This window comes from Homo sapiens, chromosome 7, assembly GCF_000001405.40.
Source record: "Homo sapiens chromosome 7, GRCh38.p14 Primary Assembly".
In the NCBI taxonomy this organism is placed as follows: domain Eukaryota; kingdom Metazoa; phylum Chordata; class Mammalia; order Primates; family Hominidae; genus Homo; species Homo sapiens.
This window is the reverse complement of record NC_000007.14, coordinates 45,731,907-45,748,350: the sequence shown is the minus strand read 5'-3', so window position 1 is coordinate 45,748,350 and position 16,444 is coordinate 45,731,907. Positions and strand designations below refer to the sequence as shown.

Below are 16,444 nucleotides of genomic sequence, written 5' to 3'. Positions count from 1 at the left end.
AAGAAACAAGTGATGAGAAAGGAGAGAATTCCTTCTGTTATGTTTTAATTGCCAGACAAAAACTGTATTTCTTTTATCTTTATAAAAGCCAACCAAAATTACAGCTAGATAGGAGGAATAAGTTCTAGTGTTCTGTAGCATTGTAGGGTGGCTGTAGTTAACAATAATTTAGTCTATATTTTCAAATAGCTAGAAGAGAGGATTATGAATGTTCCCAATACAGAAAAATAAGTGTGAGTTGATAAATGTGCTAATTACCCTAATTTGATCATTACATATTTGTATACAGGTATCAGAATACCATACTCTACCCCACAAATATGTACAATTATGTTTCAATTAAAAATAATAAAAACCAACCAAAAATTCACATCAACACAATTTTCTGTATTTTAATTTATCGTGGTTTTCTAAGTACTTTGTCCCTAAAAATGGTATACTGAATAATGGCATTATGTAGGCAAATACCTTGGAATAATGAAATGCTTATACCTCGCCAGTGAAGAATTTCTGCAGTTATATAAAATAGCTGGTTAGATATTTCCAGGAGCCACAGAACTGTGAAGGGCTACACATGGATGAATACAAATCCAGTCACCTGGATTTGAAGTTCCAAAGTTAGAGCTTAGCAAATATACTATTCCCTGTTTAGGTACTGTTACAGTTGGTTTGTGATCAAGTAGTCAGGCTAGTCATTAGCCTCCTTTTATTTTCCCAGATGCTAATATATTTTTTACCTTTTTCCCCCCAAGCATGGGACAACTTTCTGTAGTGATTTTTAGTAAATAATTTGACCAGTATATGCTTGAATATTCTTAACTTTAAAGAGAACATTTAATTTTATTTATTATTTACCTTGGTGGTAATATCATGTGATGTCAATTTACTAAATATTGGTTAAATGGCCTATAAAAACTAATGCAGAAACTATCAAAAGTAATTTTTTTTGGCTAATCTGTTGAGTCATGTAACTTTTTTTATTCTTGAAATTTGTGAATACTATAGAGATGTATTTGAACAAGAATACTTTGTTTTATAGGACCATTTACCTCTTGCTGTGGTGGGTAGTAATACTATCATTGAAGTTAATGGCAAAAGGGTCATAGGAAGGCAGTATCCTTGGAGTGTTGCTGAAGGTAAGGTTTTCTTCAGTGAATGAGTTTCTATAAGATCTCAAAACTGATTAAAAATTTGTATTTATAGTAAGGAGTATAATATGCACACTGTATTGATATAATCTAGATTTCAAGGATAGTACTGATTTCAGGTTCTTGTAGTCTCATTTTCCTCTTAAATACATTCATATTTTTCAAACCTGTATCCTACTAAGTCATGCAAGTATGTGTTAAGTCCTAAAGTTGTAGTATAGGTTGAACATTCAATTTTTTTTTTTTTTTTTGAGATGGAGTCTCGCTCTGTCACCCAGGCTGGAATGCAGTGGCATGATCTTGGCTCACTGCAACCTCCGCCTCCCGAGTTCAAGAGATTCTTCTGCCTCAGCCTCCCAAGTAGCTGGGACTAAAGGTGCGTGCCACCACGCCTGGCTAATTTTTGTATTTTTAGTAGAGACAGGGTTTCACCATATTGCCCAGGCTGGTCTTGAACTCCTGACCTTGTGATCCACCCGCCTCAGCCTCCCAAGGTACTGGGATTACAGGCGTGAGCCACTGTGCCCGGCCTAGGTTGAACATTCTTAAAGAGAAAATTCAAAATATGAATTGCTCCAAAATCTAAAACGTTTTGAGCACTGACATGCCACTCAAAGGAAATGCTCAGTGGAGCATTTTGAATTTTGGATTTTTGGATTAAGGATGCTCAGCCAGTAAGTATAACACAGATATTCCAGAATTCCAAAAAAATTCAAAACACTTCTGGTCCCAAGCATTTCAAATAAGGGATACTCAACTTGCCCCACCCTGGCTGACATCCCTGCCTCATTATTAAGTCTATTTCTGTTTTCTTATTTGAAAACATAACTAAAATTGAGGGGTTCTTTACCTGGGGCCCTAAGTTTGCTCCCAGGGAATCTAATGAACCTCCTGGAATTAAACATTTTGGAGAGAAGGCTAGTCACTTTTATCAGAATGTCAGATGGGTCATGGACCCTCAAGAATTATTTTAAAAATGAATAAGCCCAGTTAAAACATTCACAGTCTCCTTTCCTCAGTGCAAAAGTTGCCTTTTTTGACATCGCATATTTAGAGTAAAAAAATTTCATTAGTAAGAGATACTCTTTACTAGTTTTGTAAGGATTTTTTTGTTTTTTAACCTGCTATCTTAAATTATTAAGGGTTAAGTAAGGAGTTTTAAATACCAATAAAATCTTATTTATAACACCAAACCTCAGAAGTCCTTCCTCTTGGCAATAGGTTTATTGTATTGGTTTAATCTGATATTTAATCTTCTGTATTATAGTAAGCTGAAACCAAAATTGAGACATGATTGTTTTATGTTTGTTGCTATTATTTTTGAATTTTTTTTTTTTTTTTTTAAAGACAAGGTCTTGCTATGTTGCCCAACTGGCCTCAAACTCCTGAGCTCAAAGTGATCCTCCCACATGCTCCTCCCACATCACATCACTATAGGCACACACCACTGCCCCTGGTTTATTTTGAACAGTTCTTTAATTTTTAGGATATTGTTTCAAGTTACTGTCCTTATTGACAATTTTCCCACCAGTGACCCCTGTACCTTGTTCCCAGCTCTCTCTGTCATGCCCAGGCAACTTTCAGTTGCTGAGTTGAGGCTTTAGAACTTACATACCCCTTAAAAATAGGCACCAGAGAAATTGATTTGCATCTCTCTTTTGTAGTTTACCTCTCTACTCCCAAGTAATATTCCTGTTTGTGATACATTCTTTAAAAATAAAAGTAAAGAATCTTAAAGTTCTTGGCTCCCTTTTTCATTTTGGTTACCTTAAGATTTTTTTCTAAAGTGATTCCCCCTTCACTTACACCACTGAATTTTTTAAATGTATTATATAATAAATATATTTTTTACCAATAATGAGAAAATGTGTGATTTCCCCTTTCAAAATTTCAAAGTTGTTTCCGGAGAGCTCATTTTAGTTAGGTTGACATCTGTTTCTGAGGATTAAACTACAGTAAGGTAATAATATAGTACACTTCTCTGTCATGCCCTTACATTGAGTACTATGTTAGTGTTAAATCTCAAAAAAATTGATCTGAGCTGTTTTGCATTTCCCCTCCCTTGTTTTTACCCCCCAAGTTCCTGTGAAATATTTTTTGAAAAGACTAGGCTTAGTGAAAATATAATATTTGCGGTCTATTTTTTTCTTACAGTTGAAAATGGTGAACATTGTGATTTTACAGTTTTAAGAAATATGTTGATAAGGTAAGTACAAGCAATGATGGAAATAGCATAAGATTTTCTTTCCCTAAATAAGAATTGGATAGATTTACTTTTTGCCTTCTATAAATGTAGCTAATTTAAATTTATATCTTCAGTCTAGTAATGAAGTTAGCACTACAGGTAGACGATTCTTTCTCCAAGGTTTTGAAGTCATCAGCAAAAGTTACAAAATAATTTGTGTGTCTAGGGATACATAGGAAAATTAGTCTCTTTACTTTATCGTTATACTTTGTGTTGAGGTTTAATACTGAAATAACTATGGAAGGTGAAATAGAAGAGGCTCTTCTTGTTTCTTAATGTGAAAAACTTGTGAAAACTGTATAAGGGAAGGCTAGTTTTTGAGTCAAAAGCTAGAATTTGAATGTTAAAAGGTACACAACCTGGTAGCTGGTGAGTAGGGCATATTTTATGTACTGGAACATAGAGAACAAAACCAATCTTCCTATCAGGTGAGACAAAAAAATCCCTACACTGTGTCTTGCACACCTGCTGAAAGAGAAGGAAAGCCTATGGGAGCAGGACATTGAGACCATCCTGATTAGAGGACCAGGACTAGTAAAGAGGAGCTCTTACTAATGAATTAGAAAAGCAGCAGCAGAGAGGAAATCATGAAGAAAAAGTGTAATAGGACTAGAGATGTTAGTAGGTAAGGAACAGAAAGGGCATCAAAATGATCCTCAGTGTTTTCATCTTGAGACACATTCCTTCCTCTCTCTACTTCACTCCCTATTTCCCGCTTCTCTCTCTTGCTTCTCTACGCCTTTACCACATACTCTCTTTAACCTCCAGTTTTAGATGTCTGTCTTAAGTTGATATCTATTCATTTTCGTACCTCTTACCCACTTTCCCGAAACGCAAGAATCTCTTTAGCTATGTAAAGAAAGGTAGTAACATAAATATGGATAATAATTGGAAATCATGGAATAACAAGAAGGTCATTCTCACAAGTGAGAAGTGAGGGGGAAAATTTAAGAGAGTCAAACTGCTACTTCAAGAAATACAATAGAGATGAGAGTGAATTTTGAAATGAAAGAAATTGACATGTAATTGACTTTTATTTTCAAAGGAGCAGGTGTTTTTGGTAGGAACTACATGACAGGGTTGATTGAGCAGTTGGGGTTGCCAGGCCTCAATTAGGGGAGAAGAGCAAATGCACGAGAAGGTCATCCTCTGGGTTTTGAGAATACAACACTTCAGGCTGTGTTATGAACTATTCCCTTCCTCTTCCATTCTTAAAGTGTGACTTCAAAAGGATACCTATTAATAATATAATCTGCTATGACAGTATATAAGTAGAGAATGTTTAATAAATACTAATTACCATTGCATTCCTCTTATTTTTAAATCTTCTATGGTACTTGTCCAGTGCTTGACATGGTGGCATTCTATAACTTTTTCTTGTGTATTTTAAAAGTATACAATCAATAATTTCCTACATACCTAAAACACTGTAGAGGGGAAAGCTAGTTACTAAGCCAGAGGCTACTTTGTTGAGATGGAGTCTCACTCTGTTGCCCAGGCTGGAGTGCAGTGGCACGATCTTGGCTAACTGCAATCTCCACTTCCCCGCTTCAAGCAATTCTCCTGCCTCAGCCTCCCGAATAGCTGGGATTACAGGCATGTGCCACCACACCCGGCTAATTTTTGTATTTTTAGTAGAGATGGGGTTTCAGCATGTTGGCCAGGCTGGTCTCAAACTCCTGACCTCAAGTGAGCCACCAGCCTTGGCCTCCTACAGTGCTGGGATTACAGGTATGAGCCACCACGCCCACCCAGCCCAGAGGCTACTTTGAATATTTGAAAGTTCACAGCCTGGCAGCTAGTGAGGGTCCTCCCTAGTATAAGCATTACAGAGCAAATTGACCATGCCTGCAGGAAGATTTAATACAGCAGAGCAGCAAGCCTTTTATGCCTAAAAATTCTAAAGTTATACGTATTAGAAAGATGTATATTTAATTTAGCTCATGTCTTTAAGACAAAGGCGTCTAGTGGATATTTAGTAAATACCTGAAGGAAGGAAATACAATACCAGTATTGCAGATGTCTGTAAATCCCAAGTAATTGAAATCTTCAGGTCAAAGGAATAGTGATTGCTTCTAAGAAAGAGTCAAGTTCAAAGAAGTGTTTGCTAATTAAGAGAACTGAATTACTCCAGGCAAACCAAAGAAGGCAATGGAAAGGAGGAAAACTATACAAATATTTTCAGGGTGTGGAGATGGGTGTTTCAGAAATCAAATATGGAAAGAAAACAAAAGGAGAACAGAAAGAGTTATGGTATCAGCAATGGGAAATGGAAGAGACAAATTCCTGAAACTGTGGGGAAACTGTATTGCTAATTACCAAATTATTTTGAGAATGGAGGAGTGGGATGAATCATAAAAGGTTAAAGCATATTTAATTAAATGGAAATAAAGACTTATATAACCTGAAAAAATCAGAATTATGTAGTCATATAGAAGTGAAAGTGATTTTAGTGAAAGGAAAATCATCCATTATCTAAAACATTAGATGACACTAACAAAAATAGCTTAACAATTAGTAAATTCACCTTACCTTTATTTTACACATTCATGCAAACATTTCATGTAAGTATTCTTCCTTAGAACCTTTAATGATTTTTCAGGGATGTAGTGATGATATGTAATATATAATAATTAAAATTAGGCCGGGCACAGTGGCTCACACCTGTACTCCCAGCACTTTGGGAGGCCAAGGTGGGAGAATTGCTTGAGCTCAGGAGTTTAAGACTGGCCTGAGCAACATGGCGAAACTGCGTCTCTACTAAAATATAAAAAATAGTTGGGCGTGGTATTGCATTCCTGTAGTCCCAGCTACTCAGGAGGCTGAGGCAGGAGGATGGTTTGAGCCTGAAAGGCAGAGGTTGTAGTGAGCTGAGATTGTACCACCACACTCCATCCAGCCTGGGCGACAGAGCAAGACTCTGTATCAAAAAAAAGAAAGAAAAAAATTACATAAACTTTTTTTATATTGGCATAGGTGTTTATTCTTATTATTCTCCACTTAGAGAAACTGGTAACAATAATTTATTCCAAAAAGTGTTTATCATATCTCAGCTTCAATCTTGAGTTACCAATTTTGTTAAAATTCCTATTTTCTGCTATCTGCATTGGGACACAAAAGGTAATGGTGTGTTCCTTGTAAAGGGGAACTTATAGTTGAAGAGGTATGATGTCACCTGTGACATATACTTGTACCAAAAATGAATGACAACCAAGAAGAAAATGTTCATGGTTGGAATGCTTTGATGTCAAGGCTGGGACAAAGGTTTCTAAAGCAGTTGAACTCTTTGATGAGAGATTGACAAATTAGCCTGAACTGTTCAGTGTCAATCACCAGATACGCCAGGAGTAGGGAGCTGTCTGACTTGCCCTAAGTGGAGTGGTAGAGCTTTAGAAGTAACTGTTGTGGCTATAAGAGAACATGAATTTATCAAGGGACAAAGTCTGGGAGATGAGATTTTTGGAAAACTCAGACTTAGGACTAAGGGGAGTGAACTATCAGAGAATTGCATGGAAATGTCAGTACGATATGAATCAGAGTAATTGAATATCACATTTTATTCACAAAGGGGGAGATTCAAGAAGCTGGATTGTGAAGTAACAGTAAAGGTTTTCTGGATGTAAGGAATGATAAAAACAGTACAACAATACGCTTTTTTTTTTGAGACGGAGTCTCACTCTTATACCCAGGATGGAGTGCAGTGCACGATCTTGGCTCACTGCAACCTCCACCTCCTGGGTTCAAGCTATTCTCCTGCCTCAGCCTCCCAAGTAGCTGAGATTACAGGTGTCCGCCACCACACCCAGCTGATTTTTGTATTTTTAGTAGAGATGGGGTTCCACCATGTTGGCCAGCCTGGTCTCAAACTCCTTGAGCTCAGGCAATCCACCTACCTCGGCCTCCCAAAGTTCTGTGATTACAGGCATGAGCCACCACACCCAGCCAACAATACACCTTTGTGTTTGTCTCCCAGAAGGGAGTTTTAGTAAAGTGGTGAAGATGAATGATGGCAGATATAGGAAGTTTGAGATAGAACAGATGATGGGAAGAGGGAGAACTGACAATACAGAGTATTGCCACACCGTGTATATCCAAGAACACTACATTGGTAAAGGATATCCATGGAGCAGCTAAGGGTATCTTCGGTGTCTTGAATAATTAAATAATGATGACATCATCCCGTATTTATTGTAGATTTATCTCATATGTATTGATTTTATATATGATAGAAATGCTGTAAGCAAAAATTTGTTTAACCAAAATACCACATTCACCTAGACAGTTTGAAGAAACAGAAATTTACTCTAAAATTCCCTAGTTTGAAAGCAACTTGATATGTCATCTGAAATGTATTATTATGTCTTAATAAAAACTCATATATTACCTTAGTAATATTGCTAAAAGGCAATTACTTTTAGATTTTATGAGCTTCAGTAGTAGCTAATCTACACTCTCTTGTCTAGTATTTAAATAGATAATATAAAAATGAATACTCTTTCATAGAAAGGTCATCCTTCAGTTACTGCTTTGGGAGATTTGTGGGTTTTTTTTTTTTCTTTTTTGAGGATTCATTTTCTTTATTTAAAAAAATGTTTTTGGCCGGTCGCGGTGGCTCACGCCTGTAATCCCAGCACTTCGGGATGCCGAGGTGGGTGGATCACAAGGTCAAGAGATTGAGACCATTCTGGTCAACATGGTGAAACCCTGTCTCTACTAAAAATAAATAAATTAGCCAGGCGTGGTGACACGCACCTGTAGTCCCACCTACTCAGGAGGCCGAGGCAGGAAATCGCTTGAACCCAGGTGGCGGAGGTTGTAGTGAGCCAAGATTGCACCACTGCACTCCAGCCTGGCGAAAGAGGGACAGAGGGAGACTCCGTCTCAAAAAAAAAAAGAACAAAGAAAAAAAATGTTTTCCCCTATGTTATTTTAGGAATCAAGCAACATGGGACGTGTTGAGGAGACAGCACAATCGGGCAGGAAGGAGGGTTGAAGAGCAGACAGGCTCGCTGGGAGAGCAGAGGACAGGGACGGGGAGAGAGGGTGGGATGGAGAGGGCATCTGAGGGGAGATGGTCAGAGGTCGACTGCTGTCTCAGGCCCTTTTTCAAAGTCATCCCAGCTCTTTGAAAGGGGCTTATTTGCCATTTAAGAGCTGTTGATGTTTCTTTAAAAATGAATCTCAGGGTGTGTGGCTGGGCAGCAGGCACCAGCACCAAGAGGAGTACAAACAAGGTCCCTGGGCTGAGGATCCCACTGTGGGCAAAGCCTGTAGTGCAGAGAAGTGGCGGAAAACTTAGGGCTCCAAGAGGCAGACCTACAGGGAGCTGGCCATTTGCACTCACCCTTCCTATCCTAGGCAAAAGAGGGAGCGAGCTGAGGAAAAGTTAGAACTAGGCTTCTTTAAAGTAACAGATTAAGCACTATTTAATTTCTGCTCTAGACCTCAAAGGAGTTAAACCAGGCGACTTCCACCAGATTTTCTTGATTCTGTGTTTATTCCATGAGAAGCTGTGGGCTCGATCCTGTACAAGTTCTAGAACTTCGTGGAACCTGCAGAACCTATATGGGCAGTTGAAGTGAGTGGAGAAACCAGGAATCTCAAAATATCTCAATATAAAGACACCACTCCTTCCCCTCTCTTCACTGCTCCTGCAAAAGCAGGTCCTCCACGCCACTGCTGCCTACCCAGACCGCTGCACTCTCACTAATGAGGCTATTTCTTTCTTGACTTCGCTGTGCTCTTGGCCCAGTGACAACAATCAGAAATAATCCGGCGCAATCAAGCCCATGCTACCCTGGACAGAGAGTAATATTTCCATCCAAGGCCTCCCTAGTGGTTTTCCCTCTCTGAGCAGCGGGGACATGGAGCAGCTGTCAAAACACCAAGGGAGGCCCAGGAAAGATGCTCATCTCCGGGGAGGAGCGGAGGGGACAGCCAGCATGTCTTCAGCCAGGAAGGGGCATGACAGCACAGGGCAGCCTGTGGGGGGCATGGCGGGGTGAGAAATCTTCCTGTGGCTGTGGAAATCTTGATAAGGTGGCGAATGTGTTGTATAGTGGCATCCTGAAGGCTGCCTGCCCTCCCAGGCACCCAGGGCAGGCAGGCAAGCTGCACGCTGTCATCGCCTAAGTCAGAGGCATGGGGCACACTTAATTACAGGGGAAGCAGAATCTGACTGCACTTTCTGTGCCAGCTGCTGAGTTCGTTTGCATCGTCATTTTTTTTTCCTTTTTCATACCTCAATGGAATAAATCTGAAAGATGTTTAGAGCTAGATTTTCACCAGCAGGTCTTCAGAAATGAATACAGGGATGAGGAATTTCATCCATTTATCCTTGCATTGGCTGAGCAAATATTTATTGAGTGCCTGTTGTATCCAGGTACTGTGCTTGGTGCTAGGGGGGTTCTCAGATTTGTTTTCTAAGGTGAAACAATCGGAATTTGGAGCCACCGATATTTTCCATGCTCATCACAAGGGAGAGGGGAGCTATAATATTTGGACATCACAATGAGATAAACTGGAAGTAATCAGCCCAGAAGACACTGCCTGGTTTCTGGAAGGTGAAGATTGAGATGCAGGCTCATAGGTGGGAAGCTCTGCCTTTGATCTGGGCATTGTGATATTTCCATTAATGAGGCATAAGGTGGAAAGGTGGTGCCTGTCATCTGGGCTTGACAATCTTCTCAATGCCCTAGAAGAAAGTCTTCCCTCCTATGGCCATTTCTCTTTTTCTTTTTTTCTTTTTCTTTTAAATTATACTTTAGGTTCTAGGGTACATGTGCACAACGTGCAGGTTTGATCCATATGTATACATGTGCCATGTTGGTTTGCTGTACCCATCAACTCATCATTTACATTAGATATTTCTCCTAATGCTATCCTTCCCCCAGCCCTCCACCCCTGACAGGCCCCAGTGTGTGATGTTCCCCACCCTGTGTCCAAGTGATCTTATTGTTCAGTTCCCACCTATGAGTAAGAACATGTGATATTTGGTTTTCTGTCCTTGTGATAGTTTGCTGAGAATGATGGTTTCTAGCTTCATCCATGTCCCTGCAAAGGACATGAATTCATCCTTTTTTATGGCTGCATAGTATTCCATGGTGTATATGTGCCACATTTTCTTAATCCAGTCTATCGCTGTTGGACATTTGGGTTGGTTCCAAGTCTTTGCTATTGTGAGTAGTGCTGCAATAAACATACGTGTGCATGTGTCTTTACAACAGCATGATTTATAATCCTTTGGGTATATACCCAGTAATGGGATTGATGGGTCAAATGGTATTTCTAGTTCTAGATTCTTGCGGAATCGCCACACTGTCTCAATGGTTGAACCAGTTTACAGTCCCACCAACAGTGTAAAAGTGTTCCTATTACTCCACATCCTCTCCAGCATCTGTTGTTTCCTGACTTTTTAATGTTCACCATTCTAACTGACGTGAGATGGTATCTCATTGTGGTTTTGATTTGCATTTCCCTGATGACCAGTGATGATGAGCATTTTTTCATGTGTCTGTTGGCTGCACAGATGTCTTCTTTTGAGAAGTGTCTGTTCATGTCCTTTGCCCATTTTTTGATGGAGTTGTTTGTTTTTTTCTTGTAAATTTGTTTGAGTTCTTTGTAGATTCTGGATATTAGCCCTTTGTCAGATGGGTAGATTGCAAAAAATTTCTCCCATTCTGTAGGTTGCCTGTTCACTCTGATGGTAGTTTCTTTTGCTGTGCAGAAGCTCTTTAGTTTAATTAGATCCCATTTGTCAATTTTGGCTTTTGTTGCCATTGCTTTTGTTGTTTTAGTCATGAAGTCCTTGCTATGGGTCTCAAAATCTCTATGGAATCTAAATTTGGTGTCAAGTTAGCTTATTTTTTATTCTACTTTGGGTGTAAATGAAAGCAGATGAATGCCACCTTCCTTAACAATAGTCTTTTGTTCATTTTAAATCTGAAATTTTTGTTTTGGTAAAATTTTGAATTTATATTAAAGCTTTTTTAGCTTTATGCCCCCTAGCTATTAATAGAAGCAAACTCTTGCCGTTTATTTATGACAGAACACACGCAGGACTTGAAAGATGTTACTAATAATGTCCACTACGAGAACTATGGAATCAGAAAACTGGCAGCTGTGACTTATCATGGAGTTGATAACAAGAAGAATAAAGGGCAGCTCACTAAGTAAGTATATATTTTTTTCTCCAAAAAAAGGTATTCTTTCTGTAGTCAGTAATCATATTGTTTCATTTTCATTAAATTTCTCCTGGCTACTCAGTAGAAAATTTGGATAACATTCTCTATGCATAACAGCATAAATTTATATTGTTATGCTTTGTTAATAGTAGAAGCTTTTTTGAATGAACCATTTTGATAAGAGTTTTCACTTACAGATTGTGTGGAAACAAAGGACAGGCTTTAAGAAAAGGAATATTTAGGGCCGGGCGCGGTGGCTCACGCCTGTAATCCCAGCACTTTGGGAGGCCGAGGTGGGCGGATCACGAGGTCAGGAGATCGAGACCATCCCGGCTAAAACGGTGAAACCCCGTCTCTACTAAAAAAAAAAATACAAAAAATTAGCCGGGCGTAGTGGCGGGCGCCTGTGGTCCCAGCTACTTGGGAGGCTGAGGCAGGAGAATGGCGTGAACCCGGGAGGCGGAGCTTGCAGTGAGCCGAGATCCCGCCACTGCACTCCAGCCTGGGCGACAGAGCGAGACTCCGTCTCAAAAAAAAAAAAAAAAAAAGAAAAGGAATATTTAGATGAATTTATTCTTGGTTACCTTCTCTATTCCTATTCCAGGGAGTAAATTAGCTGGAGTTTCAGTTTCTTCTTTTGGTTGTTAGACTGGTGTAAGTGACTACGAAGTGTGTAGCTTTGCCCTATTGAGCTTATATCTCAAGCTGTGGTGGTTTCATGTTGGAGTCAAAAAAAGAGATGTGTGAGGAAGCTGGTAACCATGTCTGTGCCCTACTTTTAAAAAATTTGTCATTATTGAAGATCACAATTACATCATATGTCACTTAGCAATGGGGATACATTCTGGGAAATGTGTCATTGGGCTATTTCATCATTCTGTAAACATGATTGAGTGTACCTACATAAACCTAGATGGTAGAGCCTTCTGCACACCTAGGTTATGTGGTCTAGCTATTGCTTGTAAGCTGTAAACCTATACAGCATGTTACTGTACTGAATGTTATAGACAGTTGTAACATAATGTTAAGTATTTGTGTATCTAAACATAGAAAAGGTGCAGTAAAAATACAGTGTAAAAGATTACAAATGGTTTATCTGTATAGGGCACTTGGTGTGAATGGAGCTTGCAGGACTGGAAGTTGCTCTGGATGAGTCAGTGAGTGAGCGGTGAGTGAATGTGAAGGCCTGGGACATTACTGTACACTACTGTGGACTTTATGAACACTGTACACTTAGGCTATACTAAATTTACTTTCTAAATTTGTCTTTAGTAATCTTATTTTGCTGTAACTTTTATAATAACTTAAATTTTAAAAAACTTTTTATTCTTTTGTAGTAACACTTAGCTTAAAACACAAACACATGAACAGATGTACAAAAATATTATCTTTATAATCTTTATACCATAAGCTTTTTTCTATTTTAAAAGTTCTTTCTTTTTTCACTTAAAACTTTTTTTTTGTTAAAAACGAAGACATAAACTTACACATTAGCCTAGGCCTATTCAGGGTCAAGATCATCAAAATGCTACTGGGCAGTAGGAATTTTTCAGTTCCTATGGGCCACCATCATATATGCAGTCCCTTGTTGACTGAAATATCATTATGCAGTGCATAGCTGTATTACGAAACCATTTTAAATAATGTGCATTTGTAGCTCGGTGTTATCTACCATTAGACAATAATCCTGACGGATCAACTGTATAAATACATAATACAAGTTCTCAAAGTAGCTATGGTGTTTTCCGTAGTGGTTAACATGCTTTATCATGGAATAGAAAAATGTCCCTTCTTAAATATTTAAAATACAAGATTCTGTTTGAGGTAAGCCTCAATACATGAACAAAAGGAAGGCTTTTTATCTCTTTTTTAGCCAAATGTTTATTGAACAACTTTGGCACAAAAATTTAAGGATCCATCATAGTGAATATTGTTCATAAAATCCTAATTCACTTTAAACTCATTCTCATTAATGATGAACGTTTTAACTCATTAAAAGAAACACATACACAAAGCTACTGATGATTTTGTATATTAAAAGAAAATATACAAAATATACAAAAAATATATGTACTTATACAATATATTTTTTAAAACATTTGTTATGTTGTCGATATAAGGAACTGTTTAATTGTTCCCATGTCTCAAATGTAAGGCTTTTTAAAGTAGTGCTGTTGGATGCAGGTAAGATAATTCAGAGAAAAATAGTAAACTTTACAGTATCATTAGGTTTTTTTCCGCATACACAAAATTCTGTGTGGATACGTGAGTTAAACTATATCCCAGGTGAAAACATAAATAGTAGAATTCTACTGGAAATATATCTCTTAAAGAGAGGAATCATACCATACTTTGTCTATGCGAATAAGAAAAGAAATGTTTGCATTGCTAAAAAGCAAATTGCCCCAGGAGCTAGCATAATATTTTATTTTATGTTAATAATAAGTAGAACAATAAACATTTGAGAAGATCAAGCCAACTAGGGAATGGCTGTAATTGGAATAGATATTTGATATGATTTGATAAATTAGATTGTTACTACTTCATTGAATAACACATACTGAATCTGAAAGAAATCGCTTAGAAGTTTATCTATTGGTTGTATCTTACATTGTCTTGAAAATGTTAGCAATTTCAAAAAATATTTTTGTTAAATTTTTCTTTAAAAGTCATTAACAACTTATGGTGCTTTAGCTGATGTAAGGTGCTTTTCCTCATAGCTCAGTACATATCCATGAATAACTGAAAAGAAAGACTAATGTTTAAATAAGTGAAGTAAGCAGGTATGAGTTAGGCTTCTTTTAATCTTCTTTTTATATTGCTCTCATGCGACTCTCCATAGCAATGTATTCTTTAACAGTGGTAGTGGGGAGGGGTTGAGAGTTGCAAGAATTTTGGAATGGAACATGAACCTATTGAAAATTTATAGTTAAATTGATCTTTGGCAATGTATGCTTCACAAAGTGCTAATCACACTTTGGTTTTAGAATATAAGCTAAACTTTTTAAAGATGTTAGACATTGAATAGTAAAATACATTCATGCGCCACATAACGATGTTTTGGTCAATGACTGACTGTATATACGACAAGATCCCATAATATTATAATGTCTATACCATAGAGCCTAAGTGTGTAGTAGGTTATACTATCTACAGTCGTGTAAGTACACTCTGTGTTGTTCACACAATGACAAATGAATTTCTCTGAATGTATCCCCATTGTTAAGCAGTGCGTGACTGTAGATCAATTTATCTTATATTTAAATTTTCTGAGGTAGTTTTGGGCAAACTGTAGAGGCTATTGAAACATGAAATAAAAATAAAAATTAAAAATATATGTGTAGATGTCTGAAAATGTGCCTTTCTGTTAATAGCCCTGGAACAATTCTATTTTAGAGGGACTTAAAACAAGAATTAGATGTGTTGTTTAAATCTGAAGAATAGCTGAACTTGTCCAGTCAGCTGTAATTTGTCTCAAGGTTAGATCTGGAGAAGTGGATGCTGTTCTTAGCAGCTATCCAGTAATTACCTGTTTCTGACAAAGAACGTATGGAGCCATCAAAGTACTTCTTAATTCCTTAGAGAATGTATCTTGCATCCCTTATGGAGGGTAGTGGGTGGCTGAAAGCCACAGAAAGGGTAGCCTTTCAAATCAAAGGAAATTCAGCAAGGGTCTGTAAAGGAAAGGGGAGAAGAGTTGGTCATATCAGATTGCTGATCTCTTAAAGGAAGTGATTCCCAATAAGAGGAGGGCCATCTTGTTAAACTTCCTTCTTGAACTTTTATCTGCCTCCTTTTTTCTTGATCTTCATTGTACCTTTTACTTAAAATCACATTTGATTGGTGACTCTTTTTCAGAACTGATGTGTATCATTGGTACCAATTGTGACAATAGATACCTTGCTCCAAGTTGGGGCACACCCTAGTCTCTCTTTCCCTTAACGTTAATTTATTTTTCTGTTCTCCATAGCCTTTTCCATCAGTCATCTTGGGAAAACTTTATAAGTAAATGACTAAAAATACAGGTTCCAAAGGCAGATCCTCAGAATTCTTCATACAAGAGTCTCATTGATCTAAATAGAAATAAAGACAATTTTCTGAAAATTTCAAGTTGTTTCAAAAAATTAAACTTATTTATTTATATCTTTTACTCTTTATTCAAGTGTCCTTTCATAAAATTATAATGATAGTAGTTGGAGTTTTGTTTATGTTTGGTTTTAATACTCTTACTTGGCAAAACAAGATGTTGGCAACCATTATTACTTAAAATTTTTGGAAATTTTTATTGATCTTTCAAATAATTTAAGTGAAATTCCTTTGGAAAATTTTGCACATAGTGACCTACTAACCACTGGAGCGAAAAAGTATGTAAATCTACTTGCTTAATGTATTCTTTAGGAAAGACAACCACACATAATTTAAATGAAACATGATTGTTTTTTATTATACTCCAAGGGTGGGTCACGTGTAATGCAGCAAAGTAGAACTTGACTAGGTCATCCTTATGTGGTGGCTGTAATTCTCTTATTAGTCACATGAAGGGGTGTGGCTTGCAGGAATTTTAACCTTATAAAGACATCCCTAGAAGGAGCTAAATCTTTGGGGATTTAGTTTCATATTCGGGTTATGTTGTAACCATTTACTTTTGCTTGTTTTACTAGGCTTTTTTCATTTCTTTGGGTTTTTAATTTCGCTGATAGGTTTATAAGCTTTACTACTACATGTGTGTGGGTAAGAGTTTCCTATTTAAAAGCAGGCAGGCAATGATATAACTTAAATGGTTTTTCCAGCTGTTTAATAAAAGGTTTTACTTGGAAAAAAATAGTAAATATGAAGACAAAAAGTGATCTCCCTATATTTTCTGCCTT

At 37.5% G+C, this 16,444-nt stretch overlaps 1 pseudogene across 1 annotated transcript in view; it reads left to right on the top strand.

Annotated features, from left to right (window-relative positions):
* Positions 1-16,444, top strand: part of SEPTIN7P2 (septin 7 pseudogene 2) — a 45,232-nt pseudogene that overhangs the window by 20,668 nt on the left and 8,120 nt on the right. Inside the window, exons 7-9 of the transcript NR_024271.1 lie at positions 1,040-1,136; positions 3,303-3,354; positions 11,441-11,564. The product of NR_024271.1 is annotated as a septin 7 pseudogene 2 (transcript). The remainder of the gene's footprint in view (positions 1-1,039; positions 1,137-3,302; positions 3,355-11,440; positions 11,565-16,444) is intronic.